The sequence below is a fragment of the Homo sapiens genome, chromosome 2, assembly GCF_000001405.40.
Source record: "Homo sapiens chromosome 2, GRCh38.p14 Primary Assembly".
Classification (NCBI taxonomy): domain Eukaryota; kingdom Metazoa; phylum Chordata; class Mammalia; order Primates; family Hominidae; genus Homo; species Homo sapiens.
Genome location: NC_000002.12, coordinates 169,868,244 through 169,890,259, shown reverse-complemented (window position 1 = coordinate 169,890,259; position 22,016 = coordinate 169,868,244). Strand labels below are relative to the sequence as shown.

The 22,016-nt window shown below is 35.9% G+C and overlaps 1 protein-coding gene across 1 annotated transcript in view; it reads right to left on the bottom strand.

The window, feature by feature from the left end:
- The window catches only part of UBR3 (ubiquitin protein ligase E3 component n-recognin 3), a 256,678-nt gene that overhangs the window by 193,872 nt on the left and 40,790 nt on the right, over positions 1-22,016 (bottom strand). The window contains exons 2-5 of the mRNA NM_172070.4: positions 17,885-18,024; positions 14,311-14,469; positions 12,623-12,766; positions 11,686-11,735 (exon numbers count right to left, since the gene is read on the bottom strand). Coding sequence (NP_742067.3) covers positions 11,686-11,735; positions 12,623-12,766; positions 14,311-14,469; positions 17,885-18,024 — 493 coding nt within the window. The remainder of the gene's footprint in view (positions 1-11,685; positions 11,736-12,622; positions 12,767-14,310; positions 14,470-17,884; positions 18,025-22,016) is intronic.

Genomic DNA, 22,016 nt, shown 5'->3' with positions numbered 1-22,016 from the left:
TTGTAAAACCAAGGTAAAAGTAGTGGTGCACCTCTTGGGGAGGAAGCCCTGAGTGTAGGTGCTCATTTCTAATTTTCTTAGTATGGTGCTGAAAAGGTTCCTGCTGTCTTTGCAGCAGAACTCAGAGTTTTTTCCTCTCCAGCTAAAGGTTATGATTCTACCCCACTATCCCAGCTCTCCTAAACCAGGGATGTTACATATGAATCAACAACTTCCACATTATAATGACATATTTTCCCTATTTTCCAAACATATATGAACCAACCAATATTATAAAGAGGTGCGGTAATGTGGCATATAGTCAGTTGTGCTAACAATGGTGTTGGTAGCAGGTTAGAACTGTAGTATAAATTCCAAGATACTTTTCTCAATTAGCACCCATCAAATTTCTAAAGCAGAAAAGTAGCCTCAGCTTCATGCTGGAGCTCTATTTACTGGTGCAGCTTCCTTGGCCTAAATAATAGCCTTAACTTGGGTTTCCGTCAAGCATCAATCCTCAGGGCCATTTTCTGGGGTTTTCCAGAGCTACTACTTAGCTCAGTCATTCAGCATTTACTGGGCACTTCAATATGTCTTCCCTGTTAATCTCCACCTTTGCCAGGCCTCTCTGGCCATCCACCAGGCAACAGAACTAACAGTCAAACTACAATCCCTCTCTGCCGCTCTTAGCTTGCCACTGGAGAAATTCACCAGAAAGAAATATGAAGCCTTAAAAGATAGAAAACAGACACAGGAATGTAAAAGCATACTACAGGGCCCAGAGGGTTCAGAAATTTAAGATTTCAGCTAATAGCCATTTATGAAACTGGTTCTCCAAGACCTGAGAGAAAAGGCAAACTTGGAAAAACATGTTATGTCCTAGGTGAGAATTATTTCATAATTTCAAATATAAACTTCCTATGAAAACAGTATCCTTGATCAAGTGATGGTCATGGCAATATGAAGTTTTATAAATTTCCTGGCCTTATACACTTAAAAGACAAGTAGAATTAGCCAAGCAAAGAAGGGGAAAGTCATGCCAAGAAGAGAATACAGCATAAGCAAAGGCAAAAGACAAAAGTCTGAAAACACAGACCACTGAGTTGGCCTTAACATCATTCTAGATATCAAATACAGCTAAGAAGGGAGATTATCTGCATCTGAGCTGGTGGGAAAATAGGTACTCTTACATACCAATGGTGAGAATATAGAGTAGTAAAATTTCCCTGAATGGCAATTTGGCAATCTTTGGAACAGAAATTCCAGTTCTAGGAATTTAACCCAAAGAAATAATCAGACAAGTGAATTGGGACTATATGCATACCTATTCATCACAATGTTATTTATAATGGCAAAAAAAAAAGTCTTTGGTTTCCAATAGTAGATGATTAGGTAAATATATAATAGCACACCTGTACCATATAAAGAAAAACAACCCTGGAGCTCTATATTCATTGTGACCAAACAGATGTTCAAAAACTATTATTATAAATGAGAAAAGCATGCTATTTTAAAACAGGGAATTTTAAAGCATGCTATTTTAAAATAGGGAAAATATGTCATTATAATGTGGAAGTTGTTGATTCATATGTAACATCCCTGGTTTAGGAGAGCTGGGATAGTGAGGTGGAATCATAACCTTTAGCATATGCAGTATGAAATTATTTAAGTATTGATAACATTCACAAATAAAATCTGTTAGTATATTCCTTTTTATAGATGTTCAAAACTGTCATCAGTGAGAAAAGCAAGTAATACACGAGTATATACAGCATGAAACCATTAAAATATGACATACATAAAATCTGTTAGAATGTCAGACATTTTAAAGTCATAATACAGGACGAGGCGCGGTGGCTCACGCCTGTAATCCCAGCACTTTGGGAGGCTGAGGTGGGTGGATCACCTGAGGTCAGGAGTTCGAGATCAGCCTGACCTGTATGTTGAAACCCCGTCTCCACTAAAAATACAAAAATTAGCTGGGCGTAGTGGCAGGCACCTATAATCCCAGCTACTCGGCAGGCTGAGGCTGGAGAATTGCTTGAACCCGGGAGGCGGAGGTTGCAGTGAGCCGAGATCGTGCCACTGCACTCCAGCCTGGGCGACAAAGAGACTCCATCTCAAAAATAAATAAATAAATAAATAAATAAATAAATAAATAAATAAATAAAGTCATAACACAGATGAAAAAGAAAAAGAAAAAACTGCCGGGCGTGGTGGCTCATGCCTGAGATCCCAGCACTTTGGGAGGCAGAGGTGGGCGGATCACCTGAGGTCGGGAGTTTGAGATCAGCCTGACCAACATGGAGAAACCCCATCTCTACTAAAAATACAAAATTAGCTGGGCATGGTGGCACATGCCTGTGATCCCAGCTACTCGGGAGGCTAAGGCAGGAGAATAGGTTGAACCCGGGAGGGGGAGGTTGCAGTGAGCCAAGATCGTGCCATTGCACTCCAGCCTGGGCAACAAGAGCAAAACTCCGTCTCAAAAAAAAAAGAAAGAAAGAAAAAGAAAAAAATTTAAAAATAAAGAATGTCAGAGGTTTACAGTGAGTCACCACTAAGTGATAGAGATTTAGGTAATGTTATCTTTTTGTTAATATTTATTTTCTACTTATTCAACAATGAATATGGATTGTAGTTTTAAGTTAATAAACATCTTTTTAAAATACAAGTCTGATTTCCAATACTACTTGTTCCAACAATAACAGATTACTATATTATCAGTTATAAGTTCTATATTTTTATTTTTAGAAAGTACAGTACTGTTAACAAACAGAAATAACTCCCAAAAGTAGAGAATTCAGGCATTAAGGAAAACGAAAACAAAACAGTTATCATAACCACAATTTCCCATTCCTCCAAATTCATGATGTGGAGCTAAGGTTCATTTGTCCCTGAGGAAGCAGTATAGGATCCTAAGAGAAGATGATGGTCCAACTGACAAGAGGAAATAAATCAAATACAATCTCAACCCAGACAGCATTTGTACAGCCCTCAGGAACTTTTCAGACCTTAAATAGACCCTGAGCATGGAAGTAGGCACTATTGCTACATGTGTTTCAGGCACAAAATATGGACACAGGTCCAAAACATTTTGGAAAGAAACAAGAAGACATGAGACAAGAAAATCCAAGAAAAACAGATTCAAACTCCCAATCTGCAAAATCTACAGATGGTTTCTCAACCTAAATTAACCTTTCTTTTTTTTGATGGATTTTCTAGACAGTTTTCATCACATTTTTTCATAAATGTGAGCTTCATAAAAAGAAGTCAGGTAAATTCACAGCTGGTTACAACAATACTCAAAGAATATTAACACAGACTACACAGGGCTAGAAGGAATATTTAATATGTCACCTTACAAAAATGAAATACAAAGATCTTAAGACTATAACAATAAGATGAAACTTGAAGATTTATGTAAGCCCCTATAATCAGACTGTTTGCTTTAAATCAACTTCACAAGTATAACACTACAAGGGAGTTCTAACTTGTCAGCTGTAAGGTGGGGCCCAGGGGGAAATGTTGGGCATTTTGTTTGACCTCTGTGGCTCCTGCCAACAATTTAGGATAGCTGCTAAAAAAATAACAAAAAGCTTTGGGCCTTAATGAAGACACGGTATGCTTATCAAAAGATGTCCCATCACTGTGCACTAAATGAGGACATAGATTTTAAAAGAAAATGAGTTTACTAGACAGTGAAAAGAAAGAACTATGCGCGACAGAAAATATTAATATCTAAAAGTAAATATTTAAAAGTGTCATCTGGAAATAAAAATCTTTCTAGAAGGCAAAACAAGAAATATGCGAAAGTTACAATATTTAACACAATATTGAGAAGAATTTAATAATTAGAGCTATCAAGGGAATAAGTTGCCTCATAAACTAGGTAAGCTCCCTACGATTGGAAGTATTTATGGAGAGGCTTACCAACTGTCAGGAATGTTGTAAAATCAATTCCTGCACTGGAAAAGAAATACATTAAATATTTCTAAGGCCTTTCCCACCAACAGTTTATGTGATTCCCTGCCCTACCCTTACCATTAATGTAATTTATGATACCAAATTAAAATTAAACCTTATGCCTCCAAAAGTAAAATTAACTTTTTTTTTTTTTTTTTGAGACGGAGTCTCACTCTGTCGCGCAGGCTGGGGTGCAGTGGCGCGATCTCGGCTCACTTCAACCTCCACCTCCCGGGTTCAAGCGATTCTCCTGCCTCAGCCTCCCCAGTTGATGGGACTACAAACGCGTGCCATCATGCTGGGCTAATTTTTGTATTTTTAGTAGAGACGGGGTTTCACCATATTGGCCAGGCTGATCTCGATCTCCTGACCTAGGGATCGCCCACCTCGGCCTCCCAAAGTTCTGGAATTACAGGCATGAGCCACTGCACCCAGCCTTTTTTCTTTTACCTATTCACTTATGAAAAGTATCTCTGATTTTTTATTTCAACTGTCCTACTTTTGCTATTATTTTTGGAAAGCTGTTGTTCACTTGGATTGTGTCTTGAATAAAGACAAGAATATTCAAAGCATATCTACACAGTAACTTATTTTGCAAAGTGATTATTTCTCAATTATGTAAGAGTATACAGGAAAAAAAGAAAAGTAAACAAGCAAAATTTATAAACAGTGATAATCTTTGGATGGTAGGGCTAAATGTAAATGTTTTCTTTTTGTTTTTTTTTTCTGTCTGTTTTGAGACAGGGTCTCCTTCTGTCACCCACGCTGGAGTGCAGTGGCACAATGTCAGTTTACTTCAAGCTCCGCCTCCTAGGTTCAAGTGATCCTCCTGCCTCAACCTCCGGAGCTAGGATTACAGGCATGTGCCACCACGCCTGGCTAATTTTGTATTTTTAGTAGAAATGGGGTTTCTCCATGTTGGTCAGGTTAGTCTCGCACTCCCAACCTCAGGTGATCCGCCCGCCTCGGCCTCCCAAAGTGCTGGGATTACAGGCATGAGCTACTGCGCCCAGCCAAAATATCTTTTAATTGTTACAATTCCTACTCTATAGTAGTAATTAAAATGTCATTGTCCATTTATTCTCATCCTATCTTCCTTTATGATATCTTAAATTACAACAATAAAATCATGAAAAGGGTTTGCTTAACAATCCCATGGGCCTATAAGGTAATGGTGTAGAAATTCTAATCCTGAAGCCATACCTAGCTCTTCACTATATTTCAAATATAAATACTAAAGCAAATATGTCATTTGTGCCTACAGTTCCAAGTAAAATGCAACATGACATTAAAAGCCTTAATGAATATTTAAATGGCATAAAATAGTTATTTGTTCAAGAACATCTATATTTAAGTACTCTTCCTCTATCAACCTCTTTCCATCTATCTTATCCCTTCATCTATTTTCACCTTAATCTATTCTATTCTATAATAATTATTGCATTTTGACCATTTTAATATATGTTAAAAAATACTTTGAGAAGAACAAAAGTAAAAGCAAATTTTAAATAATAATCATATTCATTTTTAAAGGGGTTGATGGAACTTCTTATCTTTCTTTCCAAATAAATCGCGCAAACTCAATTAACATTGCTTCTTGCTTATGATGCCTAGCCACCAACAGAATTTTTATTCCATGTAGGCCATTAGTCCTAATAAAATAATGTTTTCCACTAATAAACAAAAAACAAACCAGATTAAAACAGGATACACAACCCCAAAAAGAGACTAGCGGAAGAGTCACAGTAGTTTCATAGCCTCATTAGTAATTAAATTCAAAAATATATTTTGTTCTTTAACCTACAATGAATACTAATAAAATTTCAGTATATTTTCTTCTGCTTTACAAAGTTAAAAGTCAACTCTTGGCTGGGAGCCATGGCTCACGCCTGTAAACCCAGCAGTTTGGGAGGCCAGGGCAGATTACGAGGTCAGGAGATCAAGACCATCCTGGCTAACACGGAAAAACCCCGTCTCTACTAAAAATACAAAAAATTAGCCGGGTGTGGTGGCGGGTGCCTGTAGTCCCAGCTACTCGGGAGGCTGAGGCAGAATGGCGTGAACCTGGGAGGCAGAACTTGCAGTGAGCCAAGATCACGCCACTGTACTCCAGCCTGGGCGACAGTGCAAGACTCCGTCTCAAAAAAAAAAAAAAAAAGTCAGCTCTCCAAAATACCTTACAGGCTGGGCACGGTGGCTCACGCCTCTAATCCCAGAACTTTGGGAGGCCAAGGTGGGTGAATCACCTGAGGTCAGGAGTTCAAGACCAGCCTGTCCAACATGGCAAAACCCCATCTCTACTAAAAATACAAAAATTAGCTGGGTGTGGTGGCACGCGCCTGTAGTCACAGCTAGTCGGGAGGCTGAGACGGGAGAATCACTTGAACCTGGGAAGCAGAGGTTCAGTGAGCCAAGATCACACCACTACACTCCAGCCTGGGCAAAAGAGTAAGACTCTGTCTCAAAATAAATAAAATAACCTTATAATCTAAATATAAGTTTTTATTCTCTTGATGTACAATAGTAACTACTATACTTAAGGAAAGCTTTGATTTTCATTAAAACTCTGTAATAGCCATTACTGGCTAAAATGGCATTACTTTATCAGTTGTATTTTTTCCCAAGAGATAGTGCCACTAAAATAGATAGAAAATTTATAAGAAATTATTGGTACATTATTTAGCTATTATCACTACCCACTATTGGATTATCAACTGAATCCAGGGAAAAGAATGACTAATGTCATATCCTGGTTGTGGAAGTTTTAAAACATGTTTACAAATTCTCTGACATTCTTCCCATCAAGAGGTGGGATCTATATCACCTCCCACTGAATCTGGACATACTTTCGCAACTCGTTTATAACAAAAAGGATGAAGTGACACCACATACCTTCCAAGACTAGCTCAGAAAAGGCTCTACAGCTTCTACTCTTGGGCTGTTGGCCTGGGAGAAGTAAGTCACTACTATGTAAGATGTCCAACTTGAGACCACCATGCTGGAGAAACCACATGTCGTCATACTGATCAACAACCAGCTGAGTTCTCGGATGGTCAGCATCAACTATCAGCCCTATGAGTGAGCCATCTTAGATCTCCGTCTCAGTGTGAAGCCCTCAGATGACTATGGCTGCAGCCAACAACTAACTGCAACCACATATGATGACCAAAGTAAGAACTGCCCAGATGCCATTCTCACGTTCCTAAGTCATAAAATTGTGAGCAAAATAAAATGGTAATTTTAAGACATAAAGCTTTGGGCAAATTTGCTGCATAGCAACAGTAATGACAATCATGGTTTATCCACTTTATAGAAAGAACACTTAGACCAGCAGATAGAAGAACTAGTGCCCAATTTCAACTCTACCACTAACTAGACGGCATTCACTAGCCTGAGTGAATCAGTTAATTCTATGGAATTCAGTTTTTTCATCCATAAATAAGAAAGACAAGATGAATTATATAGTCCCTTTTAGCTCAAGCAGTCATAATTTTTATAACCCTTGAATTGCTTGACACTAATTTTCATTTCGTTTTTGTTGTATCACATGACTTTTCTTTTTTTTTTTCTTTTTTTTGAGATGGAGTCTCACTCTGTCACCCAGGCTGAAGTGCAGTGGTGCAATCTCAGCTCTGCAACTTCTGCCTCCAGGTTCAAGGGGTTCTCCTGTCTCAGTGCCCTGAGTAGCTGGGATTACATGCATGTGCCAGCATGTTCAGCTAATTTTTGTATTTTCAGTAGAGATGGGGTTTCACAATGTTGGCCAGGCTGGTGTCAAACTCCTGACTTCAGGTGATCTGCCCGCCTCGGCCTCCCAAAATGCTGGGATTACAGTTATGGGCCACCACACCCAGCTGACTTTTCTAACTCAAGACTTGACAAGTTTAAAACCATAAAGCAAACACCTTATTTTATATATATATATTTTTATATATAATATATATTTACATATATAATATATATTTACATATATATTATATAATACATATATAATATATAAATATATAATATACATAAATATACAATATATAAATATATGATATACAAATATATATAAATATATATACATATACAATATAAATATATGTATATAATATACATATATAAATGTGTATATTATTTATTACACATGCATATTACATATAAATATGATAAATATATATACATATATAATATAAATATATGTATATAATATACATATATAATATAAATATATATGTGTATATATACATACATATATAATTATATTATATGTGTATATATAATATACATATAAATATGCATGTATAATATATAATACATATTATATATTATATAAATATACATATACATATATAATATAATTACATATGTATGTATACATACATATGTAATTATATTATATGTATACATGTATACATATACATATACCTATATGTATACATGTACACATATACCTATATGTATACATATACACATATACGTATATGTATACATGTATACATACATATATAATTATATGTATATTATAACATAAATATAAATATACATATATATTATATTATATATAATTTATTAATATATAATATATATTATATAATATATAATATAAATATACATATACATATATAATTATATATGTATATATGTGTATATATATATATAAAGTATCACTGCACTCTAGCCTGAGAGAGCAAGACCCTATCTCAAAAAAAAAAAAAAGAAACATACGGTAGATACCTCTGGCTAAACAACTCTACTTCAAATTCTTAAGTTTTCAAATGCCTAAATGACCCTATTTTTATCCCTTTGGAAAATATGATCAATATATAAACTATAAAAAGTTTAGCTTTCTGGGGCTGGGCACGGTGGCTCATACCTATAATCCCAGCACTTTGGGAGGCCAAGGTGGGCGGATCACCTGAGGTCAGGAGTTCAACACCAGCCTGACCAATATGGAGAAACCCCATCTTTACCAAAAATACAAAACTAGCCAGGCGTGGTAGTGCATGCCTGTAATCCCAGCTACTCGGCAGGCTGAGGCAGGAGAATCGCTTGAACCCGGGAGGTGGAGGTTGCAGTGAGCCAAGATCATGCCACTGCACTCCAGCCTGAGCAATGTAGCAAGACTCTATCTCAAAAAAATAAATAAATAAAAAATAAAGGTCAAAGGGTCTAAACTACTTAAATGTATTAAATATACATCACATGCTTTAAAAGTAAATCTTCTCAGCTATAACAAAAACAATGTATTATGAGAGACTAGGGGCTGAAATAAAGTATTTTAAAGTTGTTAACATCAAAAAGTATTTACCATGATATTCACACTGAGACATGATCATAATTAAGGAACAAATGGTTACATAAAACATACTACACACAGAAGTTGCTGAAACAGAATCTAAGAGAAATGAACATGGATGGAGCAGGAGGCCATAATCCTTAGCCAACTAATGTAGGAACAGAAAACCAAATACCATATATTCTCACTTTAAGTAGGAGATAAATAATGAGAAAATATCGACACAAAGGGAGAAACAACAGACACTGGGGCCTACTTGAGGATGGAGGCGGGAAACAGAAGTGAGGACCTAAAAAGGACAGATTAGAAGCAATAGTAATGAATAAAAAAGGGGCAATATTTAAAATTATCTGATATCATCTAGAAATTACTTCTAGAAGAGATTCAAAAGCCCCTCAATACACACACACGTGCACACACAAACACACACACAAGGATGTCCTTCTAGCACCCAACCATAAAATAGAATGTTGTTGCAATGCAGTTGTGTACAATGAAAGTCTCCACGGGAAATTCAAATGCTAATCTGGAGAGTTCAGGCCAAGATAAAAATGATTGTTACTTCTGTCCTAGACAGAGGAGAAGGCATCTGTGTTGAAGATCAGCTTTTTACATATCCAGAAATAAAATTCAATTCATGAAAATAAAGTAGAATTGTTAGCAAGCCTGTTGGATACATAATGCTAGGCATGCTAAAATAATATGACAATTCTAACCTACCACATAAATATAAACTTAAGACCACAGATTTTTGTTGTTTTAAATCAAGTCAAGATGTTTATTTTAATAAAGTGCTCTGAACAATGACCAAACCATTTCATCATGCAATAGTTGTCTAAAGTTCCTACTGGCTACAGATATAAGACCCCTGCTCAGGTGGCTTTAGCTAAAGAAGTGCCCATTCATTCACCCATTCATAGTCAACTCCTACTCTGAGAACTCGCCTTTTAATAGGCCATTCCACCTCCCCACAAAATGCTCTTAGAGCAAAATAAGCAGTTTAAAACTATATGTGTATTACCAATTACTTCCTTCTTTGGCATACGAAGAATTAGCAGTCTTACTTCCACCATTCCCCTCCCCTATCTTCAAAATGGAATTATTACAGTTTAGTTAAAATAATAATGTTTATATGTTTTTGAAAGTCTATTTTAAATATCAGAAAATTTTTCCCATTTGTCATTGTAACAATATGATTCTCAGAAGTTATTTTGTTACAAAACAGAAGCAAAATTTATAAGCTAACCATTTACATAAGTTTTTTAAATTACTCTATTTTATTTAACTAACACACATACAGTGTTTACAATATGCTGGGCACCAGGGCTGTAAGTGCTTACATATGTTAACTCATTCAATCCTCATAATATTCTCATGAAATAAGTACTATTATTATCTCCATTTCACAGATAAGGAAATGTAGACATGAAGAAGTTAAGACACTTGCCCAAGGTTACACTACTAATAGGTAAAGGAGCCAGAAGTCAAACCCAGGCAGTCTAATTCCAGAGTCAGACTCCTACACAGCATAATAAACTGCCTCTCCAATCTGATGAAAATTCTTGAAAATTGCCCAAAATGAGACTCCACAAAATGTAACATTGTGTGAAAGCCTTTTTAGAGGGGAAAAACTATAAAATTTAAATTTTAAGGTATTAAATCAATTACAAGACTTCCACAACAGAAATCATCCCTTTAAAAGGAGTATATTTGGCTTAATTCACATTACATTATCAACTCAAAATGAATTTCCAAAAGAAAAAAGATATATATGTTTAAATGTAATTTTATTTTTTAGATTTTAATTAAATGTATTAGAAATATAAAATTTAAGTTGAATAAGCAACAAGATTATAAGCAAATATAACAGCAATTTTTCTCTTATAAATTATGTAATAAAATATAGAAATATAACAATGATTTTTCCTATTTATTATTAATAAACACTATAAAAATTGAAATTTCAAATTGATGGTCTTTTTCCCAGTACATAGTTTTAAAAAAAAATCCCTGACATGTAAAATGTAACTTTATTATACGATTAGAAAAACAGTTCCATTTCATAGTCTTTTAATAAATTATCCTAAACTTAGCGAAATTTTCAAAAATAATTTCATTGTACATATGACAACTATACGGGTAAATTTGGGGATAGCCTCTGAGGAGAAATCTCTACCTCTTTCTACCCACTTTTAAACTGTGAAAAAGAAAAATGAATTATAAACAAGAAGTAAAAATCTAGTTACACACCTCGTTCTCTCACTAAGTAATTGTGTGATCTAGGCTTCCCAGAAGCCATTATGGGCTTCAGTGTCCTTGTCTATAGAATGAGAAACTTAAACTACATAATGCCTACAAATCTATACAGTTTCAGAACTATAAAGAAGTATAAAATAATAAAAAAGTATAAAAAAGCACAAAATTGTACTTTTTAAAAAGTTTTGAACTTTAAATCTCACCTCATCTGAAGAATCCACTTGTCCCAAAGTTCCTGTTGCGCCTATGAAACCTTTGGAGGAGAAGAAAAATAGTTGTCCTTCATAGTTGCTACATATTGCTTTATTTTCAAATTATTCTGAGAAATACAAATATCAAAAAGCTAAGTTTTGTTACGTTAGGACACCTCATTCTAACAGTTATCTTGGCAAAGTCCAACTTTTTTTTTTTTTTTTGAGACGGGATTCTCGCTCTGTTGCTCAGGCTGGAGTGCAGTGGCGCAATCTCACCTCACTGCAACCTCCACTTCTCAGATTCAAGCAATTCTCCTGCCTCAGCTTCCCAAGTAGCTGGGCTTACAGGCGCCTGCCAGCACGCCCAGCTAATTTTTGTATTTTAGTAAAGACGAGGTTTCACCATGTTGGCCATTTTGGCCTCAAAACTCCCGACCTCAGGTGATCCACCCACCTCGGCCTCCCAAACTGCTGGGATTTATAGGCATAAGCCTCCGTGCCCAGCCTCCAACATTTATCTCAAATAAGTTTGGACCTAATAGGTTGATACTTCAATAGGAATTCTCCAGTGAAAACTCAGATTTAATACAGTTATTACAAATGGTGTTTCAGAAGGATCTCTTTTTAGTTTTAAACCATAGTTTACTAAAATATTGAGGCAGTAAAGTTTTGGGCTACTCTTGAATAGCAACTGTACATTTTTCATGAGTTAGAACCAGAACCTTAATAAGCTAATCAAATTCCATTTAAGAAAAATGCATTCTCTTCTTTGGTCAATCTATTCTTTTTTGCCTCTAAATTTTTACTACTTTTATTACTTTTCTTAAAAAGAATAATACTGTTTTAGTTCAAAATAATTTTTTTCAATAATGAGTAAAGTTTGAGAGGTTTTTTTGGTTTTAATACAGAAAAGTTACAACTGTTCAAATTAAATATTTAGACAAACCTTGAACAGCCAGAGAACTAGTACCAGCAGATGGCTCCTGCACACCATATACAAGCTTATCCTCAGGATATGTAAGTCCAGAGCTCTTTAAAGCTATAAGGTACTTTTCATGACTTTTCTTTACACAAGCATTTTCTCCAAGACCTAATTAAAACAAACTTCAAATCAGAAAAAAATATTCCATTCAAAATCTCAGTATGGTCTTTTCATTAACTAGTATCTATAAATAGGTGAATATTCTAATGGAGTGGGAGCCCTAGAATGAATAATATAAGATAGCTTCAAATAACACTTTTGTGCTTATGTTTAGCACTAACAATCCGAGAATACACAGCATGTTTATACCAAATAATGAAATCTACAAAGTAGGTGGGCATCTAAAATATCCAAGGGAATGTGGGGCACAAGAATTAATAAGACATGATCCGAACTTTAAAGGAACCTGAAAATTACAGTAAAGAAAGTCAGAGAGGTAATATGGTAGATAATAATTATGTAGCGGAATTCACCTTCTGGTTTGACAGTCTGTGCTCTCGTAATACCAAGCATGCAGTTATCGAAAGCAGAGTGCTTGGGAAAGGCGTATGAATGTTTTGTATAACAATACACCATTCAACAATTCCAAGTTTTATAACTTAAGCTGTATATTAGAAAATCCTAGGCGATACAACACAAAAACTTAAAATATCAAAAGTGAAAACATAGACATGATGGTTGTTACTGTTAAAGAAAGGGGATCACTTCTCAGCCTTGCGTTTAAAGAAAGAGACGTAGGGCCGGGCGTGGTGGCTCATGCCTGTAATCTCAGCACTTTAGGAGGCCAAGGCTGGCAGATCACCCGAGGTCAGGAGCTCAAGACCAGCCTGGCCAACATGGTTAAAACCCTGTCTCTACAAAAATACAAAAATTAAAATTAGCTGGGCATGATGGCAGGTACCTGTAATCCCAGCTACTCGGGAGGCTGAGGCAGGAGAATCGCTTGAACCCAGGAGGCAGAGGTTGCAGTGGGCTGAGATCACGCCACTGCACTCCAGCCTGGGCAACAGAGCAAGACTCTGTCTCAAAAAAATACAATACAATACAATACAATACAATACAATACAATAAAGAGAGGCAGAGCATAATTATCATGTCACACCAAAAGTTAGGAGACCTAGGTTCCAGTACCAACTCCAACATAAATTAATTGTGAGGTTTAAACAGGCCATTTCATTTTCCTAGGGCTCAATTTCCTCATCCATAAAACAAGAAGTTCTCTTGCCAGGCGCAGTGGCTCACGCCTGTAATCCCAGCACTTCGGAAGGCCAAGGCGGGCGGATCATGAGGTCAGGAGATCGAGACCATCCTGGCTAACACAGTGAAACCCCGCCTCTACTAAAAATACAAAAAATTAGCTGGGCGTAGTGGCGGGCGCCTGTAGTCCCAGCTACTCGGGAGGCTGAGGCAGAATGGCGTGAACCCAGGAGGCGGAGCTTGCAGTGAGCCGAGATTGCGCCACTGCACTCCAGCCTGGGCGACAGAGCTAGACTCCGTCTCAAAAAAAAAAAAAAAAAGAAGTTCTCTTAATAACTTCCAGCTTTAGCATTCTATGAAAATTCTACAATTTACCTTTAAGTTCTAAAAGACTCAATTTCTTATCATTATAGTAAGATATGAAAACTATAAATTTCTTCTAACATTTTACTCACCAGAAGTCAGATCTTTGTAGTTTTGTTGGTTTGTCAAAACCTGAGTAAGAACAGACCGCATTGCTCCTCCCATTTTAGTCAGGTCTTCTAAAAAGGAAATTTGAGGTTCCAAAAGCTGAAGGACTTTGTTAAGGTCCTTTTCTGATGGTCCATCAGCTGCTAAAAGAAAAAAAGAAAAAAAATCAAATAAGGGTAATTTTGTTTAAAATATCTTACTAAAAATAACAGTATTTATTCTTTTAAAATTATAATGGCTTAAATTATAGTATTTTATAATCAAAAAAGTCAATACAAGAACTCTGTTTAGAAATTGGTATCTGCCCAGCACCTAGCCAAGCAAGGGTAGACTTGCTCAGGAATTCAGTCCTTTGGAAAACAGTAGATGGAAAAACACAGATGACCTCCTAAGATATGAAGCACTTAATTTGTGTAAGAAGCATTTAAATACAAAAAATTAACCAAGTGTGGTGGTGCGCGCCTGTAGTCCCAGCTACTCAGGAGTCTGAGGCAGGAGGATGGCTTAAGCCTGGAGGTGAAGGTGGCAGTGAACTGAGATCATGCCACTGTACTCCAGCCTGGGCAACAGAGTGACACCCCATCTCAAAAACAACAAAAAGAAGCAGCAGCATTTGATCTGTGGGCCCTATACTTCCACATATATAAATGTCATCATAAGATCATTTCAAAAAAAGATAGTATTTAAGAAAAAGTTTAGATCACATCCTAGAATAAAACAAGATATAATTCAAATACATTGAGAGTAGTATAAGAGTATTATGTCAAATTTAAACCTGTATAACAAATAACCTATCCCCTATAATATTCCAAAAATACAGATACATGTTAGCTGAAGGTCAAAGCAACTAAAGTGAAAGATAACTTTTCATAAATATGAATAATTGTATTAAAAACTAAAAAAAAAACAGGCAAATAGAGATGGAGAGAAAGAAAAGCTTGGACAACAACTGAAAAAGAATATTAAAGACGAAAAATATAGAGAGGTTTTACAGAAGCCGAGGTCTAAAAGGAAGGAAATGAATAAAGAGATGTATAGCTTAACCATAATTTTTTTAAAACAAAAACAAACAAATGAACAAAACCACACCTATAAAAGAGGTAATGGAGAACCTGTGTGCCCAGGAAAGGGGATGTCCATTTCATTCAACATTTATTCAGAATCTCAAAACCTACTTTCTCAGTGTAAAGCTAATGTTATATATTATTCAACTTTATATTCTCCCCAGTGACTTATATAGTAATATAGTAGATGTTTAATTAATGTTTGCTCTTGGTTTTCAAGGGCTCTGAAACAAACTCTAACACAGATATAAGGATTATTGGATGAATGAGAAACAGAATTGAAAGAAATTGGGAAACCACAAGATCTCTGAGTTTTCATTACCTTGGATTGGTTATTGCAAGACCTTTCTTTAATTTCTTTAATTTTAAACAGTAATCTCTACACAAAAATGCAGAATTTTGGCTGGGCACAATGGCTCACACCTGTAGTCCCAGCACTTTCAGAGGCCAAGGCGGTGGATCATCTGAGGTCAGGAGTTTGAGACCAGCCTGGCCAACACAGTAAAACTCCATCTCTACTAAAAATACAAAAAATTAGCCGGGCGTGGTGGTGGGCGCCTGTAATTCCAGCTGTTTGGGAGGCTGAGGCAGGAGAATCACTTGAACCCAGGAGGCGGAGGCTGCGGTGAGCTGACATCGCACCACTGCACTCCAGCCTGGGCAATAAGAGCGAAACTCCATCTCAAAAAAAAAAAAGGCAGAATTTTTTTTGCACAGACAGAAATTAATGCTGAACAGAAGTAGTAATATAAGGAAGAAACTTCCATGAACCTACATTCATGCAGATCATCTTTAGATAAAAAATGCTTCCATTTTTTCCTTCGTGTTTTCAGATAACAGATAATTATAAAGCTATGTACTTACGTTGTCTACATTTTATAACTGTTATGTCAACAACAAAAAATATAAGACACTTTCATGTGAAGTACTCTTTCATTAAACTAATGATAAGCTTTAAGGTTCTCATAATAAATAATTTCTATTTCTAAAATAGGACACCTGTAATACAAAACATAAATTCCCAAAAAGGTCTCCTAACTAGTATATAAGAAATAATGCATAAGGCAATTTCAATAACCCAGCTAGTAACTGGTTCCTTCATTCCGAAGAGACAGTAATTTGAAACCAAATCAAAATAATATTTTTCTTTATATATTCTTTTTTCTGTTCTTTTTTTTGGGGGGCGGTGTGGGGCACAGGGCACACTCTCACTCTGTCACCCAGACTGGAGTGTAGTGATGTAATCATAGCTCACTGCAGCCTTGAACTCCTGAGCTCAAGGGATCCTCCTGCCTCAGCCTCCCAAGTAGCTAGGACTACAGGCACATGCCACCACCACACCCAGCTAACTTTTAAAAATGTTTGTAAAGACAGAGTCTCTATGTTGTCTAGCTGGTCTTGAACTCCTGGCTTCAAGCAATCCTCCTCCCTCAGCCCCTCAAAGTGCTGGGATTACAGGTATGAAACACCATGCCCAGCTTATTTTTCTATATTTTAAGATATATACTCTGTTAAGTAGAAGTACTTAACAAAGGATTGTATATTTTTGCTTAAAATGTACAAATAAGGAAGTATAATGGTTTGCTCACAATAAAGATAACAAGACAGTTTTAGAAATGAGGACATTATATAACATTCCCCTACACTTTAAGGATGGAGATAGAAGATGAAAATGTGTGCCACAGTTTCAAAATGAATATAAAATTATTTATAGTACTAAATAATTTTAAACCTCTAAAAATAATGCAAAATGTAATCTCTTATAGAACAGAAATTCAAGTATCATTAGAAAGGTAAAAAACATCATAAAAAGTTAATAAATTTGATTCATACTACTAATGAATATCTGTAACTGACAATGTCAGACTGAGAACTTTTAATAGATACCTAAATCCAAATATTTACCTAACTGAAGTATGTTAATCAAGATTGTGATTAAATCTTAAAAAGTAAGAAGAACATCTGTAATTTTCTCTTTTAAATATTAACATGATGATTACACACCCATATATTCTACCAGTAATCTGGAAGTCAGCAATTTGACCCTATCATAAGTTATTATATAATATATAGAGAGAATAAAAATATATACAGACTTCTAAAAAAAAGTTGATAAAACATTTTATCTTCTAAAAATCTAAGTTAAATTTAAACATTTCCAGGAGTTCTCAATTCTGCTTTATCATAATATTGCAAATAAAGTCACGTTAACCCCACAAAATGGTTACTTCCTCATCTGCAAAAGCTCAAATAAGTTTGATCAAAAACATTTATGACCCCGGAAGCAGAAAGCACGAAACTACATCTACTGCAACATATAAGGTTATATAATTAATTTTTAGTGTGTTTCTATTCAATCCGTATTTTATAGTCATCTCTTTTTAAATGTTAAACAAAAAAAGATATCTAAAAAAATTCACCTCATAATTAATACTAAAACTTTGTAAATTTACAATTTAAAAAGAGTACTAACAAGAAGTAGATTAAAACATACCTGGTTCATTATAGCCTTCTCTTAAGTACTGAATAAGACAAAATATAAATCTTGGAAGAACAAATTCAGACATCATCAGTAAGTCTTTAGGGACACAGGGAATATTTGAACTTGATTTAATTTGATGCCTTTTGCAAAACCTGTAATATGAAAAAGAAAAAAATTAACAGTAATGTCTAATCAGCTAAAAATATATTATTTCTATTTACAATATTCGTAAATGGAATATAGGCCAATAAATCCTCCTTTATGATTTTTAAGGTACCAGGTTAAAAGAATGTAATTTTAAACCAGTGTTTATACAAAAAATGGCACTCAGGTATATTTTTCCCAAGAAAAGACCCATACTATTAATAGTTAAACTCCAAGTAGAATACAAAAAGAAAATCTCATTACAGGGCACTTTTTTTTAACTGAAATTTATTACTTTCAGGTACCACTTTATGACTTCCACTCTTTTAAACCATTAAGTACAAGTTGATCACTTTAAAAGCATTTACATTTTTCCTATTTCTAACTTATTGCATTAATGAATAGGTAAGTGATACAAAACCTTGAAGTTTATTTTAAAAGTTTATACACTGAAGTGTATACATTCCTTCTAATCTTGTTTATATTCTTTTTTTTTTTTTGAGAGTCTTGGTCTGACGTCCAGGCTGGAGTGCAGTGGCACAATCTCGGCTCATTGCAACCTCTGCCTCCCAGGTTCAAGCGATTCCCCCACCTCAGCCTCCCAAGTAGCTGGGACTACAGGTGTGCACCACCACACCAGCTAATTTTTTTTATTTTTAGTAGAAACGAGGTTTCACCATGTTGGTTGGCCAGGCTGGTCTCAAACTACTGACCTCAGGTGCTCCGCCCGCCTCGGCCCCGTGAGCCACTGTGCCTGGCCTATATTCATTTTTAAGTATGATTGGTATGCTTAAGCAAAAATGAAGTTAACTGTTTTTTTTTTTTTTTCCCTTAAAGACAGGGTCTCGCTTTGTCACTCACATGCATCCTGGAAGTCCTGGGCTCAAGCAATCCTCCCACCTCAGCCTCAGGCATGTGCCACTATGTCTGGCTAATTTTTTTATTTTTACTTTTTGTAGAGACAGGGTCTTGCTACATTGCCAAGGCTGATGTACAACTCTTGGCCTCAAGCGATCCTCCAGCCTTGACCTCCCAAAGTACTGGGATTGTGAGCCACTGTGCCCCACCCTGAAGAAAACTATTCTATAGTCAACATCCAAATAATCACAAATAAGTTATTCTGTGACCAAACACATAATTACCACATTAAACATGTAAAATGCCTAGAAATAAGTAGAAGGGAAGAGAAGCTATTTAAGCTGTAAAATATAAAAGATCTGAATAAATAGAGAAAAACAACATTCCTAAACAGAAAAATTGATCTTTTTTTTTTTTTTTAAAGACAGTTTTGGCCAGGCACAGTGGCTCATGCCTGTAATCCCAGCACTTTGGGAGGCCAAGGCCGGTGCATCACCTGAGGTCAGGCGTTCAAGACCAGCCTGGCCAACATGGCAAAACCCCATCTCTACTAAAAATACAAAAATTAGCCAGGCATGGTGGCACATGCCTGTAGTCCCAGCTACTTGGGAGGCTGAGGCAGGAGAATCGCTTGAACCTGGGAGGCGGAGGTTGCAGTGAGCCAAGACCGTGCCACTGCACTCCAGCCTGGGTGACTAAGTGACAGTCTGTCTCAAAAAAAAAATAATAATAATAATAAAAGACAGTTTCCCCAGACTTAATGCCATTAGATTTACATCCCAATAGAATTAATCACAAACTAATTCTAAAGTTCAAATGGAAGATCATATTTGTGAAAAATACTATTAAAGCCTGAAAAAAAAAGGTTAATGATAATGAACTGGACCTTAAAGCACAGTATAAAATTATTTTAATTAAAATTCTGTGGTAATGTGCTAACATCAATGGACCACAATGGGCCGGACATGGTGGCTCATGCCTGTAATCCCAGCATGTTGGGAGGCTGAGGCTGAAGGATCACTTGAGGCCAGGAGTTCAAAACCAGCCTAGGTGACATAGCGAGACCCAGTCTACCAAAAAAACTTAATTTAAAATGAACAATAATGAAGTCCAGAAAAAGAACATACAAATTTGTGATAAATGTGACATCTCAAATCAATATAGTGGAAAGAAGACTTAATAAACTACTTTAGAACAAAATTTACTATTATTTAAATGCAGGAAGCAAATTTGATTCCTATCTTATACTATATACGAAATATATTCTGGAATACATTAAAAATCAAATGTAAGAAATGGAGCCTGGAAGATAATTAACTATTTTCCTACATTATCTCAGAATATAGAAAGCCTAAGTTAAGACTTAAAACCAAAAGCCACAAAAGAAAAAAAACTGACTATGTAAATCAAAAGCTTCTACACAGAAGACAGTAACAAACTGGAAAAAATATTTACAATTTATAAATGAGATAAAAGATTAATAGCTATGATTACAAACTCTCAAAAATGGATAAGAAAAATAAAGGAATTCAACAGAAAAATCAAGCAAGGTCATGAACAATTCACAAAACAAGTACCAAACAGCCAATAAACAAATGGAAAGATGCTCCAGTTTTCTCTAATAAAGCAATGAATTTTATTAAAACAAAAAATGAATAACTGGAGAAACCATTTTGTGATATCTAGTGAAATAACTGACCCATGCAATTGAGCCATTAGAGGAAAGCTTGAGGGGAAATTTTCATTACAGTTACTTACAGTTCATTACAGTTCTTTGGTTCATTACAGTTAATTTTATTAGGTGTGATAACAATATTGTGGTTACATAAGAAAAATATCTGACTATTACATCCTTATCAATCTGCTGGGTGAGGTGGCTCACGTCCTTAATCCCAACACTTTAGGAGGCTGACATGGGCGGATTGCTTGAGGTCAGGAGTTTGAGACCAGCCTGGCCAACATGGTGAAGCACCATCTCTACTAAAAAATACAAAACATTAGCCAGGCATGGTGGCACATGCCTGTAGTCCTAGCTACTCAGGAGTCTGAGGCAGGAGAATCACTTGAAACCGGGAGGCAGAGGTTGCAGTGAGCCGAGATCGCACCACTGCACTCGAGCCTAGGTGACAGAGCAAGACTCCATCTCAAAAAAAAAAAAAAAAAAAAAAACCTTATCAATCTTAGCATCACCAGAAGTTTAAACAAAAAAAAAAAGGCAGAGAGACTGTGATGTGAGTAAAGCACACAACACCATTTATGAAATGTTCTTATCAAACAAACTGAACTTGAATGGTACCATGTCTCCAGAGCTAACTTCCATTTACAAGACGTACGGGAGATAAATGAACACGTTAAATACACTACAAAAAAGGAAATAGACAAATGGAGAATGTGAGACATTATACAGGACAACTGACCCAGTTTCTGTAACCTGTCAGTGACAGAGGGGAATAAAGGGGTACCAGGGCTACTCTAGGTTAAAAGAGGCTTGAAACACCCAATAAGCACATGCAATATGTAAACCAATTCTAACAAACCAACTCTGAAAAGAATTTTTGAAAGGCATATTTTAGTCTTTCAAAAAGGAAATTCCTTTCCGAGGGAATCTGATTATAAACTGGGTACTAGTTCATTACAGTTGATTTTATTAGTGTGATAATGCCATTGTGGTTATACAAGAAAATGTTAGTGGTTATTTGATGATATAGGAATTATTTTATGTGGGTGTGACAACAACACTGTGATTATCACTAAAAGTGAATTCCCAGCTGGGTGCAATGGCTCATGCCTGTAATGCCTATAATCCCAGTACTTTGGGAGGCCAAGGCATGCAGATCACTTGATGTCAGGAGTTCAAGACCAGCCTGGCCAACATGGCAAAGCCCTGTTTCTACTAAAAACACAAAACTTAGCCAGGCGTGGTGGTGTGCACAAGAATCACTTAAACCCGGGAGGTGGAGACTGCAGTGAGCTGAGATCGTGCGCCACTGCACTCCAGCCTGGATGACAGAATGAGACTCTGTCTTAAATAAAAATAAAAAATTTAAAAAAAGTAAATTCCCTGTCTTTTAGACAGAGACAGGGATTTACAGATGAAACGCTCTAATATATGGGACCTGCTTCAAAATAATTTGGTGAGATA